General features: G+C 40.9%; 1 protein-coding gene across 1 annotated transcript, besides 3 other annotated features; it reads right to left on the reverse strand.

Moving 5' to 3' along the window:
• Positions 5,636-5,685: an enhancer, noted in NCBI's record as "active region_4354". NCBI's record gives its function as "activates an Ori minimal core promoter by ATAC-STARR-seq in GM12878 lymphoblastoid cells {active_cell/tissue: GM12878}" and the evidence as "EXISTENCE:reporter gene assay evidence [ECO:0000049][PMID:35858748]".
• MRPL17 (mitochondrial ribosomal protein L17) lies at positions 12,234-15,189 on the reverse strand. The gene is made up of 3 exons (NM_022061.4): positions 14,972-15,189; positions 14,596-14,664; positions 12,234-14,251 (listed from the first exon to the last, which is right to left on the reverse strand). The coding sequence occupies exons 1-3, from the start codon at positions 15,143-15,145 to the stop codon at positions 13,967-13,969; spliced, it is 528 nt and encodes a 175-aa protein (NP_071344.1). The 5' UTR covers positions 15,146-15,189; the 3' UTR covers positions 12,234-13,966.
• Positions 14,731-15,493: an enhancer, noted in NCBI's record as "NANOG-H3K27ac-H3K4me1 hESC enhancer chr11:6704113-6704875 (GRCh37/hg19 assembly coordinates)". NCBI's record gives its function as "activates a minimal SCP1, AML or CMV promoter by ChIP-STARR-seq in naive H9 embryonic stem cells {active_cell/tissue: H9 hESC(naive)}" and the evidence as "EXISTENCE:reporter gene assay evidence [ECO:0000049][PMID:30033119]".
• Positions 14,910-15,349: an enhancer, noted in NCBI's record as "active region_4355". NCBI's record gives its function as "activates an Ori minimal core promoter by ATAC-STARR-seq in GM12878 lymphoblastoid cells {active_cell/tissue: GM12878}" and the evidence as "EXISTENCE:reporter gene assay evidence [ECO:0000049][PMID:35858748]".

The raw sequence follows: 16,271 nt of genomic DNA on the forward strand, positions 1-16,271 counted from the left end.
TTTTTCTTTCTTGCTGAGTTGTTGTAAGGATTCTTTTTTCTTTTTTTTTTTTGAGATGGAGTTTCACTCTGTCACCCATGTTGGAGTGCAGTGGTGTGATCTTGGCTCACTGCAACCTCTGCCTTCCGGGTTCAACAGATTCTCCTGCCTCAGACTCCCAAGAAGCTGAGATTACAGGCACCAGCCACCATGCACAGCTAATTTTTTTGTATTTTTAGTAGAGACAGTGTTTCATCATGTTGGCCAGGCTGGTTTTGAACTCCTAACCTCAAGTGATCCACACATCTTGGCCTCCCAAAGTGCTAGGATTACAGGCATGAGCCACTGCGCCAGGCCATAAGGATTCTTTAGATACAAGAATTATATACCTAGATACAAGTTCCTTATCAGATATGTGATTTGCATATATTTTCTCCCATTTTGTGAATTTTCATTTCCTTGACAGTGTGCTTTGAAGCACAAACGTTTTTAATTTTAATGAAGTTAGATTTATTTGATTTTCCTTTTGTTGCTTGTGATTTGGGTGTCATATCTAAGAAATCATTGTCCAAGGTCAAGAAGATTTACTGCTGTGTTTTCTTCTAAGAGTTTTAATAGCTTCAGCTCCTACTTTAGGTAAATGATCCATTTTAGTTAGTTTTGGTATATGATGTGAGTCCAATTTTATTCTTTTGCATGTGGATATCTAGTTGTCCCAGCATCATTTGTTGAAAAGACTTCTCTTTTATTTAATTTTCTTATCATTTTTGTCAAAAATGAATTGAACATAAAAGTAATGTTTTACTTCTGGACTCTCAAATCTATTCCACTGATCTGTAGATGCTGGTACCACGCAGTCTTGATTATGTTGTAGTAAGTTTTAAAATCTGGAAGTGTGAATCCTCCAGCTTTGTTCTTTTTCAAGATTATTTTGGCTATTCTGAGTCCCTTGAATTTCCATATGAATTTAAGGATTGGTTTAGCAATTTCTACAAAAAGATAGCTGTGATTTTGATAGGGATTGTGTTGAATCTGTAAATCAGTTTGGCATCTTAATAATGTGATATTTTCTAATCCCTGAACATATAATGTCTTTCTATTTATTTAGGCATTTTAACATTTCTCTCAACAATGTTTTGTAGCTTTCAGTGTATAAATCTTGTCCTTTTCTTAAGTTTATTCCTGAGCATTTAATTCTATTTGATGTTATTGTAAATAGAATTGTTAATTTCCTTTTTGAGTTGTTTCTTGTTACTGTGCAGAAATACAATTGAATTTTGCATACAGTTGATTTTCGTATTCCCATCTTGTATCCTGTAGCCTTGCTGAACTTATTTATTAGTTTTCATAGGTTTTTTTTTTTTGTAAATTCCTTAGGATTTTTTATATACAAGACCTTGTCACCTGCAAGTAGATAGTTTTACTTCTTCCTTTCCAATATAAAAGTCTTTTATTTATTTTTCTTTTCCAGTGGCTCTTGTGGAACCTCTAGTACAATGTTGAGGCAAGAGTGGACCTCCCTGTGTTATTCTTGATTTTAGAGGGAAATCATCCAGTCTTCTAATATTAAGTATAATGTTAGGTACAGTTTTTCATCCATGCCTTTCATCAGGTTGAAAAAATTCCCTTTTTTCCTAGTTTACTGGGTGTTTTATGATGAAAAGGTGTCCAATTTTGTCAAATGCCTTTTCTGTGTATACTGAGATGATTATGTGGTTTCATTTCTTATTCTCTTGATATGATATGGTGTATTATATTAATTGATTTTAGGATGGAAAACCAATGTTGCATTTCTGGGATAAACCCCATTTGACATGGTGGTAACTCTTTTTATATGCTGTTAGATTCAGTTTACTGGTATTTTGTTGAGGAATTTTGCATATTCACATGAGATATTGATCTGTATTTTTGTTTTCCTGTTACATCTTTGGTTTTAGTATCAGGGTAATTAACCTGCCTCATAGAGTGAATTGGAAAGTGCTCATTTCAACACTGTAAATTCAGAGACTTTTATCATCTTGATCAAATGAGCATTATCTATTTGTTTTAGGCATTTGAATCATAAATGTCTGAAATGTGTATCACACACAAAACTGACATTCAGTGGAGTTTGACTGAAATCCACTGTGCAATGAGTCTAATGAAGAAACTGGTAAAACTAAAACTAAACTAAGTCAAACTGAAATCAGTTGCAAATCTTAAATAATAGAATCCATAAAGCTGTTAAACTTTTCCATGCAACACAATTGCCATAAACTTTATAAATTGCTGATATAAACAAATTTTTGAATGGATAATTTCACTAAATTAGATATTGGTGTCCAAAAGCAGATTTTTCTAAGTTGGTAAATTTGGAAAATTTGGCGAATTGGACTTTGGGTAGCTTGGTCATTGGGTGAATTGTCTTCAGTAAATACTCTTTCAACTAATTGCCTAGTTTGTGGGTACAGATAAGGATCACGAGGACAGGAAATTGAGAGAACTTTGCCTACAGACTCCTTTTTCTTTTTTGCAGAATAGGCAGTGAGGTTAAGTGCTGACAGAGGTGAAGGTGAAGTAGAGGGTTTAAGAAAAGTGGAGAAAGGCTCGGCGGGGTGGCTCATGCCTGTAATCTCAGCACTTTGGGAGGCCGAGGTAGGTGGATCATCTGAGGTCAGGAGTTTGAGACCAGCCTGTCCAACGTGGCAAAACCCTGTCTCTACTAAACACACACACACACACACACACACAAACACACACAAATTAGCCAGGTGTGCTGGTGCATGCCTGTAGTTCCAGCTACTCAGGAGGCTGAGGTAGGAGAATCGCTTGAACCTGGGAGATGGAGGTTGTAGTGAGCTGAGATCATGCCACTGCACTCCAGCCTGGGTGACAGAGTGAGACTGCATCTCAAAAAAAAAAAAAAAAAAAAAAAAAAAAAAAAGTGGAGAGAGTTTGCAGGAGTCAATGAGGTGATGGAATTGGACAACCCAAGCTTGCTGAGTTGTGTTCAGGACCCAGCTCTGTTGGTGACAATTCCAATGGTTGTTGATGCTTCTTGTTTCTAGGAGTGTTCAGTGAAGAAGGCACAGGAGTAGAGAATCTGGTGATTAGTATGTAGGTGGGAGAAAAAGACAACGGGTTCAACAGGGCATGGCATGAGAATGGTGGTGTTGGCTCATGACATCCAGGCTGAGTTGAAAAAGAAGAAAGGCCTGGTAGACAAAAGGGTAAAAGAGAGAGTCCAAAGGACTGGAGTTTCAAGAGGTTAGAGGTTTAACATCTGAGTGTAAGGGGATGAGGGAGCCAGAGACAAGAAGCTGGGTTTACAGAGTGAGATTCTGGAGGGCAAAATTTCAGGGGTAAAGCAGATCTCATCAGGAAAGGGCCAGAGGCCTGGTAAACAGAGTGGGCTGGTTGGATGGGTTACTGGAGGTGAGGACAATGTAGAACAGTGGGGCCAGAGACTTGGATGGAGCAACTACATGGATGGGGCAAGCACATGGATGGAATGATAGCAGGTCTTGGGATGGTGAGCAAGACTCTGAGACTAAGACTTCACTGAATCTGTGAGTGATTAGGAGCTGTCTTCTCCCAACCCCAAACTCCATTAGCCCAGCATGAATGAACCATCCTGTCATTAAAAAGGTGGGACGGGGAAGGGAATCTTGTTCTCGAGTGTTTGCAGAACTTCTCTAGAGAGGTCTTTACCTTCCTGTATTTGCTTCTATCTCTGCCAGCTCCGTATTGACTACTCAGTCAGGTTTTGAATTCATGTTCTCTCAATCTTCTCTAGACCCATCCTGTTAGGTCTCTGACCGAATTTAATGATTCTTTTTTTTTTTTTTTTTTTTTTTACTAGCTGTGGAGTATATACTGTGCATGCTTTCTCCTGAAAAGTAGACATGCTTAAACTGCAACCTTGCCAACTGACTTCCTGCCGGTTGGGCTAAAAGATGCCCTAGGATCCTTATCCCTTAGCAGCTAAGGCCGAGACCATTAACAGGAAGTGGTAAAACCAATGTCCTGAGTCCCAAAAGATAAGGGACTTTACACAAAAATGGAGGAGCTATGGAAGCAACAATAAGGAATGAGAAGAAAGCTCCCTTTCTTCTTGCTCTCAACCCAAGATTTTGGATTTTCCCCTCAATTTACACATACCCTTTAAGTGTCTATCTGTACAAATGAATGACCTTGCAAAAAAAAAAAAATCCCCAAAATGGACTTTTTAAATGTGACTCCCTTTCAAGTTGCTGATGTGTCTCTGCCTTGTCTTCCCTTTTCATGGTCACCAAACTTCTTGAGCTGTATTTATGGTTTCTGCTTTTGCCCCTCTGAAGAGACAACTCTATCAGAGGTCAATAGTGAATGTCCTAATTTCCAAGTCCAATGGCCAAAGATAGTCTTTAAACCAATACTCTGGAGCCTGGCCAACGTTAGGTTCTGAGAATACAAAATTAACTATTGTATGCCCCCCAATAACTCACAATCTACTGGGGGAGATAGACTCAAATTGACATTTTCAACACTCTGTTCCTCTGGATTTTGAGACAGCAGTGTTCTAGTTGTAGTGCTCCTTTTCAATCCCCTAAGAGGGCTACTCTCTCTTTCTCTGTCTTTCTGTCTCTCTCTCTCTCTCTCTCTGGCCTTTGTATGTTGGCTCTATGCTAGGACTCTTTTTTTTCTCCCCCTATATTTCCTGTCTGAGAAATCTCATCTAAACCAATTGCTCCATTTCCCATGTATGTGCGTATGACTCTCAAGTTTGAATTGCTAGCTTACCTCTATCCTCTGAGCTCCAGAACAATTGTTAACAAGACAGTTCCTTAACACGAGTATATTTACAACCAAGTTCATCACTGTAACTCCTGATCTACTTCCCCTCTTACTTATCCTCATTCTCTGTGAATATGTGAATAGAATTTCTCTACCCAACTACCCAAACAGAAACCTGGTGTTATCCTCGACTCTTAATTTCTCCTCCACCTCATGTAATCACATACAATGTGTCTAGCCTATTCTACCTTTTCTATGGCTGTTTGTTCTGTCAGCTTCTCTAGGTTTTCCCTGTTTTTGGCCTAATCTGGGTTTCCAACTCCACTTAGACTCCTTAACTAGCTTCCTATTTGGTTTACCAGCTTCTAATCTTTTTTTTTTTATTTTTATTTTTTTATCAGCTTCTAATCTTGTCCCTCTCACCTATCTTACAGTCTGATGCAAGAATGATCTTTCTGAAATGTTAATCTTATCCCTCTTTTCTCCATTTAAAAATACTGGTGGCTTCCCTTAGTCTTCAGGATAAAATCCAAACACTTTATCATATCTTACAGGGTCCTTTGTAACCTGGTCTTGCCTGGCTTTCCAGCTTCTCTTCCTTTACTTTTTCCTCAAATCTTAAATCCCTGCTGTGCCAAATTAATTGGAATTTCTCAACCACTCTATACCATTTCATAATTCAATGCATCTACAGATCTTGCTGCATGGAATGCCCTCCAAACTAATTTCTTTCCCCAATGCTTGATGAGTTCCTAATCATTCTTCAAGATTCAGCCCTAGCATTGTTTATTTTGAGAAGTTCTGCATGGACCACTTCCTTTCTTGGTACTCCAGTAGGCCTCAGGTGCAACCATGTTCATAGTATCTGTTTTACTATGTTGTACTTATTTATGATCTGTCTCTCTAACTGGTCTTTTGGGCCTTTGAGGGGTCATTCCAATATTTCAAAGCATAGTGCTTTGGAGGGAGAAATATGCTTGCTAAGTTAACTGATTAATTATTGAGTGCCTCCTATGACAAAGAAGACACAAGCTGGGTACTGTGATGAATTTTGCAGGTTCCCTTTCCTCTCTTAAAAAATTCTCAGTCTCCTTCAAAAGTTCTCTATCCTGTCTGTTCCCTACTGCCTGACCTCAGCCTCCTCTTGCTCTACATATATACTCTGAGTCACTCTATCCATTTATTTAGCTTTAATTGCTGACAACTCCCAAATTTGTTCTTCCAGCAAAAACCTCTTTCTCAAGCTCCAGATGCTTCCAGGCATCTCAAATGCAGCACATATGAAACTGAACTATCTTCTTTTTCTTTTTATTCCTTCTGGGATAAAAGGAGAAGTAATTGTAGGAAAGGTTATGAAACCATTTTACGGAAAAGTAGTTAGAAATTAAGCCAGGACAATGTCATTAAGTCTTCAGTGACATCCCTAGGTACAGCTTTTGTGTTTTCATCTCCTTTTGTGTTTTCAAGTGAATAGCAGAAAAACCCTTTAATGGTGTGCTTCCTGTACTGGGCTACACAGTGGTGTACCAAGGTATATATGAAACCACAGTGTAAACAAGGCTTGTCTTCCCAAGACATCAATTTTGATAGAAAATTGTGTGTGTTCATGTGTGTGTGTGTGTCTGTGTGTAATGTACAATATTTAACTTGTGAGAATTAAAAATCTTATTTTTCTATTAAACAGATATGTTGTGGAACAGAATGCAAAAATGTCAGAAAAGTTTAGTTCTTTCCTGGAAATGTAAGCACACAAACCATTTCTATTATTAAGATATCTCAGATTTAACTACCAAATTTAAGGCTGGGCTCAGTGGCTCACGCCTGTGATCCCAGTACTTTGGGAGGCCGAGGCGGGTGGATCACCTGAGATCAGGAGTTTAAGACCAGCCTGACCAACATGGTGAAACACCGCCTCTACTAAAAATACAAAAATTAGCCAGGCCTGGTAGCAGGCACCTATAATCCCAGCTACTTGGGAGGCTGAGGCAGGAGAATTGCCTCAAAAAACGAAAACGAAAACAAAACGAAAACATCAATAACTAACAAATTTATATCCCAGAAACTAAAGGAGAGCTACACTATGCCCATGCATTTAAGAGCACAGAGAGGAAAGCCTTAAGGGTACAGATATTACCCAGGCATGAACAATAGGGAATCAGCTTTGCAGGAAGTTCTTTTTTAGATGAAGAAGGAGGAAACAGGAGAAGGGAGGAGTCAGTGAGTCCAAAAGACAGAGCTAAGCAGAAGAACTCAGTATAACACATTGATTCATTCAACAGACATTTATAGATGTCTATTTTGCCTCATGTTCTTTACAGGGTGGTGGGAAAAGTGAATTAGACGTGTTTGTGCTCTTAAGTAGTTCACTGTTTAGTAATGAGTGCTGAACAATATAATTATACCGTTGTTGTAATGAAGAATGTACAATGTAAAACTGGACTGCAAAAGAAAATAAAGAAAACAGTCCTGTTTATAATAGCATTAAAAAGAATAAAATCTTAAGAATAAATTTAACCAAGGAGGTGAAAAATCTACATACACACACACACACAAAGATCTATACACTTGTATACATATGTAACAAACCTGCATGTTGTGCACATGTACCCTAAAACTTAAAGTATAAAAAAAAAAAGATCTATACACTGAAAACTATGAGGTGCCAATGAAAGAAACTGAAAAAGAACAAATAGCTGGAAATACATCCCATGTTTATGGATTGGAAGAATTAATAATATTAAAATGTCCATGTTACCCAAAGTGATCTACACATTCAATTCAATCCCTATGAAAATTCCATGGCATTTTTCATAGATGTAGAAAAAAGTCCTAAAATTAGTACAGGACAACAAAAGACTACAAATAGAATAAATAATCTTGATAAAGAACAAAACTGGAGGCATCACCTTTGCTGATTTCAAACTACATTCAAAGTTACAGTAATCAAAACATTATGTACCATACTGTTTTGCATGTACAACTTAAACATAGACACACAGACCAATAAAACAGGATAGAGAACTCAGAAATAAACCCATGCATGTATGGTCATGTGGTCAACTGATCTTTTTTTCTTTTTTTTTAATAGGGTCTTGCTGTGTCGCCCAGATTGGAGTGCAGAGGCACAATCTTGGCTCACTGCAGCCCTGACTTCCCGGGCTCAAGTGATCTTCCCATCTCAGCCTCCTGAGGAGCTGGGACTACAAGCACACACCACCACATTCAGCTAATTTTCTTGATTTTTTTTTGTAGAGATGAGGTCTCCGGATGTTGCCCAGCCTGGTTTCAAACTCTTGTGCTCAAGTGATCCTCCTGCCCCTGCCTCTCAAGGTGCTGGGGTTACAGGTGCGAGCCACCATGCCCAACTGGTCAACTAATCTTTGATGAGGCACCAAGAATACACAATGAGGAACAAAAATCCCTTCAATAAATAGTATTGGGAAAACTGGATAGACATATGCAAAATGACAAAAATGGACTTTTGTATTACACCATATAAAAATGAATTTGGAATGGATTCAAGACTTAAATGTAAGATGTGAAACTGTAAAACTCTTAGAAGAAAACATAGGGGAACAGCTCCTTGACATTGGCCTTGGCAATGATTTTTCAGATATGACACGAAAAGCATAGGCAAACAAAATAAAAATAAACAAGTTGTACCACATCAAACTAAAAGGCTCTGTACATCAAAGGAAACAACAAAATGAAAAGGTAACTTACCGAATGGGAGAAAATATTTGCAAACCATATCTGATAAGGGGCTGATATCCAAAATATATAAGGAACTCACACAACTCAATAGCAAGAAAACACAAAAAATCTGATTTGAAAATAGGTAAAGGATCTGAATAGATATTTTTCTAAAGAAGAAATACATGAAAAAGTGTTCAGCACCACTAATCATCAGAGAAATGTAAATCAAAACCATAATGAGAGATCATCCTACACTTGTTAGCATGGCTGTTATAAAAAAAGATAAGGGATGACAAGTGTTGGTGAGGATGTGGAGAAAGGGGAACACTTGTACACTCTTGGTGGGAATGTAAATTGGTACAGCCACTATGGGAAACAGTAGTATGAAGGTTCTTCAAAAAATTAAAAATAGAACTACCCTATGATCCAGCAATACCACTTCTGGGAAACAAAATCAGGATCCTGAAGAGAGATATCTGCATTCCCATGTTCACTGCAGCCTTATTTACAATAGCCAAGATACAGAAACAATCTAAGTGTCTGTCGACACATAAATAGATAAAGAGAATGTGGTATATTTATATACAATGGAATTGTATTTAGCCATAAAAAAGGAAATCCTGCTATTCATGACAACGTGGATAAACCAGAAGAACATTATGCTAAATGAGTCAGTTAGACACAGAAAGAAAATTACGTATGAGCTCATTTATATTTGAAATGTAAAAACATTGAACTCATAGAAACAGAGTAGAACAGTCATTGCCAGGGTCTGAGGTATGAGGGAAATAGAGATGTTGATCAAAGGGTCTAAACTTTCAGTTATAAGATGAACAAGTTCTGGAGATCTAATGTACAGCATACGTGGTGATGGATGTGTTAACTAAAAAAAAAAAAAAAAGAAATTGGATCATTGGAATAGTGCTGAGTTTTGCTTGGGTAATTCTGTCAACACTTTACAAAAAACGCAACCTTTCAGCTTTTGGCTAGTCTTGGAAAATTTATAGGTGTTTTCTATCTGTGGATTGGTTAGAAATATTCCAGAAAATTGGAATATAAAATGTGTGGGAAATGAATTAGAAATATGCTCACATTCTTGACAATCATTATAAGCATTTAAGTTCTGGAAGAGGAAGGAGACCATTTCTTTTGCTTGGTATACTCAGTAGTGTAGCTTAACCCTATCTCTACATGTGGTACCATGTTTATTGTTTGTAAAGCTCAGCCAGAGAGTTGAATATGGCATGGATGTAGCTTACTCCTCCTTATTTAATGAACATATATTGAGCACCTATTTTGTATCAGGCCTTATGATAGAGTTATCAAGAATGAGTCCCAATCTCTGGCTTCAGCAGTTTGGCTGAATGAAGGGATCAGTTAAGTAGACAGGCAACTAGTTAGGTGTATGCCCACAGGATTATAAATAACAGTACACAAGAGAGGCCTGAGCCCATTTGGACGGTGATGTGGAGTTTGGGGCCTCAGAAAAGTGACTTCTGAGCAAATATTTGAATGACAAGTAGGAGTGGACTTGAAAGAGGGCAAGCATTATAGTAGAGGGAACATCATACACCAAGTAGTAATATAGTCAGAGAATAACAAGGAGTTTCTCATGAAGGGTGGCTGCAAATAGTGGTAGGAAAGGAGGCTGAGAAGTGGCCGGGACCAGGTCATAGATGACCTTTGTGTCATTAAATGTCTGGATTTTTATCCAGCGAAGGCGGTGGTTAGTCACTGGAATACTGGCTATGAAGAGTGTTTTTCAAAGAGTAGATTATAATCCATTAGTGGGTTGTAAAATCAATTTAGTGAATTGGGGCCAGCATATAAAAGGTGAACAAGTAGAAAATATGAGGGTAGATCATATTTGTAAAGGTAAATAACATTTTATGAAGATTTTGTTTCAATCATTTATGTTTATGGATAATCTGTTCTGATGTAAAATGTTTTTTGACCTGTAGGTCACAGTCACAATTTTTGAGAAGCACTTGTTTAAAGGTTCAGTGTTACACAAATTATCAGATTACTTTTAGTAGTAATTAACAGAAAATTCAGATCCAAATGGGAATAATCACTAAAAAAGATTATTATTCCAACGTAACTAGGATTCCAGTTTGGGAGCTCTTGGTGCTGTAGTTTTAGTTGTTTTTTTTTTTTTTTTTTTTTTTTTATACTTTAAGTTTTAGGGTACATGTGCACATTGTGCAGGTTAGTTACATGTGTATACATGTGCCGTGCTGGTGCGCTGCACCCACTAACTCGTCATCTAGCATTAGGTATATCTCCCAATGCTATCCCTCCCCTCTCCCCCCACCCCACAACAGTCCCCAGAGTGTGATATTCCCCTTCCTGTGTCCATGTGATCTCATTGTTCAATTCCCACCTATGAGTGAGAATATGCGGTGTTTGGTTTTTTGTTCTTGCGATAGTTTACTGAGAGTTTTAGTTGTTCTAATCTGCCACTCTCAGTGTTATCTTCTGCCTAAAGCCAGTTCCCCAGTGGCACTTAGAATAACATGCCAATTTATTCATCTAGGCAGAATAGAGCTTAGATTCTCACTGCCTTAACTTAGTTTAGGCCTGTCCACTACAACCCATTCAGGAACTAATCTACTGTAGGAAACTGTAATGCAATGTGGCAAATTCAGTGTATTATCGAAACATAGAGCACCTCAGCTGACGAAGTCATGAATTTAGCTGTGGGGATGGGCGGGGAGCCACCTAGGTGATACCAAAAGTTTGTGTGTAAGTTACATAGGTAAAAGAGAGAAGGCTGTCTGCACGGCAGGGACTGCTTTAACAAAAGGTTGTGGACAGGGGAGCTGTGCACAGGGAAACATCCAAAATAGGAACTTTTATGCTTCTAGAGCATAGCATTTAGAGGCAAAGGAAGTAGTTGGAGTGATGAGTAGATGCCTGAACAAGGAGGGGAGTCATGATAAGGATCCCATAGGAAATAAGCAACTGGAGATCATCACCAGGGAATTAAGATGATCAGATTCCCGTCAGTACAGCCAAAGTGTAGAGGGAGGTAAGTTAGGAGGTTGTTGAAGTAACCCAGGATAGAGGTATCTTGGATTTCTTACTAGGGAGCAAGTTGACTGCAGATTTGAGAAACATTACGGAAATAAACATGACTTGTTAATTTCAGTGTCAATGAGGGTAAGGAAATAATCTCTGACTTTTCTAGTCATCTCCCCAAGATATCAGGCTTACAGTGTATTAACTGTAAAGCCTAAACTTGTTACCTTTTGAGAAAGGAGTGATCATTACTTTGTCTACCTTACTGTAAAGAACTGGCGCCCAAGACGGTGGGAACCTTTGAGAGTGGTGCTCTTGGGTTTGGAACGCATTAAAGAGGTGCCTAGATGGACTTGGGGGGAGCAGTCCACTAGTTGAAGAAGTTATTTATAAGCCAGATTAGTAAAATTCTTTTTTTTTGAGACAGAGTCTCGCTCTGTTGCCCAGGCTGGAGTGCAGTGGCACAATCTCAGCTCACTGCAAGCTCCGCCTCCCAGGTTCACGCCATTCTCCTGCCTCAGCCTCCTGAGTAGCTGGGACTATAGGTGCCCGCAACCACGCCCAGCTAACTTTTTGTATTTTTAGTGGAGACGGGGTTTCACCGTGTTAGCCAGGATGGTCTTGATCTCCTGACCTTATGATCTGCCTGCCTTGGCCTCCCAAAGTGTGGGGATTACAGGCGTGAGCCACCGCACCCGGCAGTAAAATTCTTGATGCTGTTACTTTCCTTGTGTTATCCCTGAGCCTTTAGCAAATGTTTTAGGATTCATGTACTTTTATTTGGACCAAAACATTAAAGGGGAAGCAGTGTCCCTTGAGGCCACTGTGGTAGTGGCAGTGGCCTGTTATTGTGAGCTCATTGATGGTACAGGTTGTTTCTTATCTCTAGTCTCTATTAGATGAACAGTGGATATTGTATCCCTTCTGCCTAAATTGATGCTGGGAACTAGCAGATGCTCAAAAAGCATGTAGGGAACTGTTGGAAGTCCCAAAGGGAGATATATTTCTGGGGTCTAAGAGGAAAAGCTACAGGAGCCCAGCCACAATCCATCTATTTAAAATAAAGATGTGGTTTTAAGGAAAGTGGTTTCTCTAGAAGTTAGGTATGACTCCTAGATACCTAGCTAGGGTGGATATTCATGCTAAGACAGAAGAGGGGTATATTTTTTAGCAGAAGCAGAGTTGTAGCTTTATTTCATAAATGTTTTGAGTGTCTACTATATTTCATTTAAAATATAAGAGCTTTCTGGCTATAGTGTGAAGAACAAACCATAGTAGAGAAAAAGAGATAAAGAGCTCTGTTGGGAGTAGATGAGTATCAGACTAAGGCAGCTACAGCTAAATTAGCACCAGAATAGTTCGTTCTGTCACTGAAGCCATGTCTGCTACACCAGTGATCCCTTTACCCTTACTCTTACTTATTATCTCAGACAGTGGATGGGTTCAGTGGGCCAAATACACTCAGAAGATAGAGCCTAAGATAAAATCTCTTCTACCCACTTTACTGGGGATATGGCAATTATCAGGCACTGCTATCAAGTGTTTGGACCAAGACTGATGGCTCCTTTCTAAGTCCTTCCATAACTACTACCCTACTAAAGCCTCTGAACCCAAGGGAACGGCAGCCTGGCTGTGCCAAGAAAGGGGCTCCCAGCTTCTCACATTCTGAAGCCGGATTTCCCTTTTCTGGGTTCCCAGAGAGGCCAGATTTGACAACAATAAAAACTTCCAGGAAATTCCTAGGAGGTTTAATTTCCTAATCCTTCTCTCGCATAGACCCTCTTTCTTACCCCTTCCCCTCACCAAGAGGAAGGAGCTTATCCTGGAGCCCAACATCCTCTGCTGAATGTCTCCACCCCTTTGGCCAAACTGGTGGAACATCTGAGTTCTTGGGTCCTCTCCTCCCAGGCCCATTCAGGGGGTTGAAGGGAACACATTAAGGTAATGTGTGATCCTGCCTCAAAACAGAGGACTGATTGCAGTATCCCCTGAAGGTTCGCAGGGTACTAGATTGTTTAAGGAAGTTTCACTTGCAGATTGTCACTCCCCTACCCCTGTCAGGAAGTAATCTTTCTCTAAGAAATCCCAAGCACTCATCTCTAGGAGACCAGATGTCAAAACACAACCACCTCTGGCAACATTTGGAATTATAGGATGCATTCCCATGTAAACTGGCATTAAGAAAAACAAAATTGCACTAACCAAAAATAACCCAAATTTAAGGACCAGAAGCATAAGCCATGAATTTACTATCTCAGGTAGACTGAGCATTTGGATAATTCTCATTCTCCAGAAATCCCACAGGAAGGAAAAAATAAATAAATTTATATATATTCATATAAAGACTTTTATCTATTGTGCAAAGAGAGGGTCATCTGGCTCCCCAGAAGGTTCTCAACCCCATCAAGACTGTCCATTTTACATCTCTAGCTCCAGTTCTTCTCAGAGAGTAAAAGTGCTCCAAAGGCCTGTGATCATGGGTACTGATTAAGGGCTGCAGACTCTTCAGATCCAGTTAAATCCCTGGTGTTTGAGCTGTGTGGGAGCTGTGGTTGCTTGCTTCCTGGCTTTGCCTGAGGTCCTGCCGCAAACCCTGCAGCAGCTGGTTTAGGAGTGTAAGGTGGCTGTCTCTGCGAGGCAGAGGCAGGGGTGGGAGGCAATTCCCTTTATACTCGATCACTGCCATCTTGGCCCGATCCAAACTCCGATTTGGGATCTGCAGCATTCTTGTGTAGCCCCCAGTTTGATCTTTGTACCGAGGGGCCAGTACTTGAAACAGCTTTGGGATCAAATCCTTCTCCTAGAGGGAGAATTATCCAAGAGACAGCAGAGTCAGGCAAAACTGCAGAGGCATTTAACTTTACACCATTCCCAAAGGTAAGGTCCATCCACACATAGAAAGACCTCCCCCTCCCCTCGCCAATCTGGCATAGTCAGTGTTACACAAAGGGGTCGTTTATAGGCAGTTGTGCAGAGGTATATTCACATCGACTTCAACTAACTTAAGACACAGTTTCTAATTTAGTTAGCAGCACTGGCCCATAAGTGAGTACCCAAGTTTAATTCTGCATAGTTCTCCTTTTTCCAACCCCCACCCCCAGGGAGCAAAGGGTGGGATTTTGAAGGCAGATAGGTCGCACTCACTGTGAGCCAGAAGTCAGCCATGCGCATGGCTCGTTCGTTAGTGTCTCCCAGCTTCCCATAGTCGATGAGCTGTGAGGACATAACATCACGGATCCAACCGAGCAAGAAAACAAGGTGCCAATCTAATTTCTCTAATGCCGGAAGGCAATCCATTCTTTCCACTAGCCAAGCATCTCCAATCTACGCCACCCCTAACTCCGCAGCCCTAACCAGTCTTCCATTAGAGGCGATGGAGGGGCGGGTTCAGCCCAAGGTTCTGGGGGACTCAGACTTGGGGAATGGTTTACCAGGTTGGTCCCGGTCCCTTTCCACTTGCAGCCGGCTCCGCCCCCTCAGACCAGACCCGCAGAGTGGACAAGAGGGCCGCGCTCCTCACCTTCTCCGCGTAGCCCCTCATTTCGTCCACACGCGCCCATGGTGCCTCGATGCGTTCGTGCCGCACCAGCCCTGTGAGCAAGTTCCGCAACAGATGGATGCGGGACTCGGGACCGAGGCCCATACGGCGAAATACGCGGCCATGGGAGATCGCTGCAGCGACCGACAGCCGCATGTTTCCAACTTCTGCCCGCCCCTTGGAGGCCGGAACTGGAAACTGGAAGGTAGAGCCGGTGGCGGCAATTTCAGGGAACGCATGCGCCTTAGCTCGGAGCGTGGTGAACGTGTTTGCGCATGCGCATCAGAGCCTGCCTCGTTGGCAATCTCGGGAAGGGCGGAGAAACGGTGTTGAGCTTTTCCAGAGGCGGCGAGCTGGGCGGGCTTCAGGCATCCAGAGCGCTCTGTGGCGGCCGAAGAACCAGGCGCCCCCTAGTGTGGGATAAGCGGGCCATCGGGTTTTTTTTGGGGCTGCGTCAGCCAGTGGCATTTAGGGCGATGGGGCGCTCCGCCGCGGAGACTCCTGGGAAAGAGAGCGTCTGAAGAGAAAGGCACCCGGAGGGTTCGGGGTCCTGCGGGCTGACGGCCCTACCGGGTCCAGCAGTGGCCAGCTGGCCTGGTTGACACCTGTACGCATTGTTTTTAACACAGTGATTTTCAGTAGTAATGGTGAGATGGATAATAACGATGCCCGGAAAAGAAACGCAGATAGTGAAATTTTTCTTTTATTGAAGTAATCACTCCAGTTAAAAAAATTACAGCACTAAAGGGAAAAGTAGTAGATTGTTTTTAATTACACCAGTGTGTCTTTTTAAGGGGAAAAAACATACCTACACATTTATGTGTTAATGAACAATAATATTATAGTTTGTTTTTGAGCCTTAACATCTGCAAATTGGCAATGACTGTCAAAATTATTCCTTGTTATGGGTTGAATTGTGTCTTCCCCATGATTCTTCCCGTCCCCAAAAAGCTATGTTAAGTCCTAACCTGCAGTAACTCAGAATGTGACCTTATGTGGAAATAGGGTCATTGCAGATGTCATTTGTTAAGATGAAGTCATGCAGGCATAGGTGGGCGCCTAATCCAAAATGCCTAGTGTCTAGCTAGCTAGATAGATAGACACATATATACGTACATACATATATGCAGGCCGGGCACGGTGGCTCACTCCTGTAATTCCAGCACTTTGGGAGGCCGAGGCGGGCGGATCACCTGAGGTCAGGAATTCGAGACCAGCCTGGCCAACATGGCGAAACCCCGTCTCTACTAAAAACACAAAAATTAGCCGGGCGTGGTGGCTC

The sequence above is a fragment of the Homo sapiens genome, chromosome 11, assembly GCF_000001405.40.
Source record: "Homo sapiens chromosome 11, GRCh38.p14 Primary Assembly".
In the NCBI taxonomy this organism is placed as follows: Eukaryota; Metazoa; Chordata; class Mammalia; order Primates; family Hominidae; genus Homo; species Homo sapiens.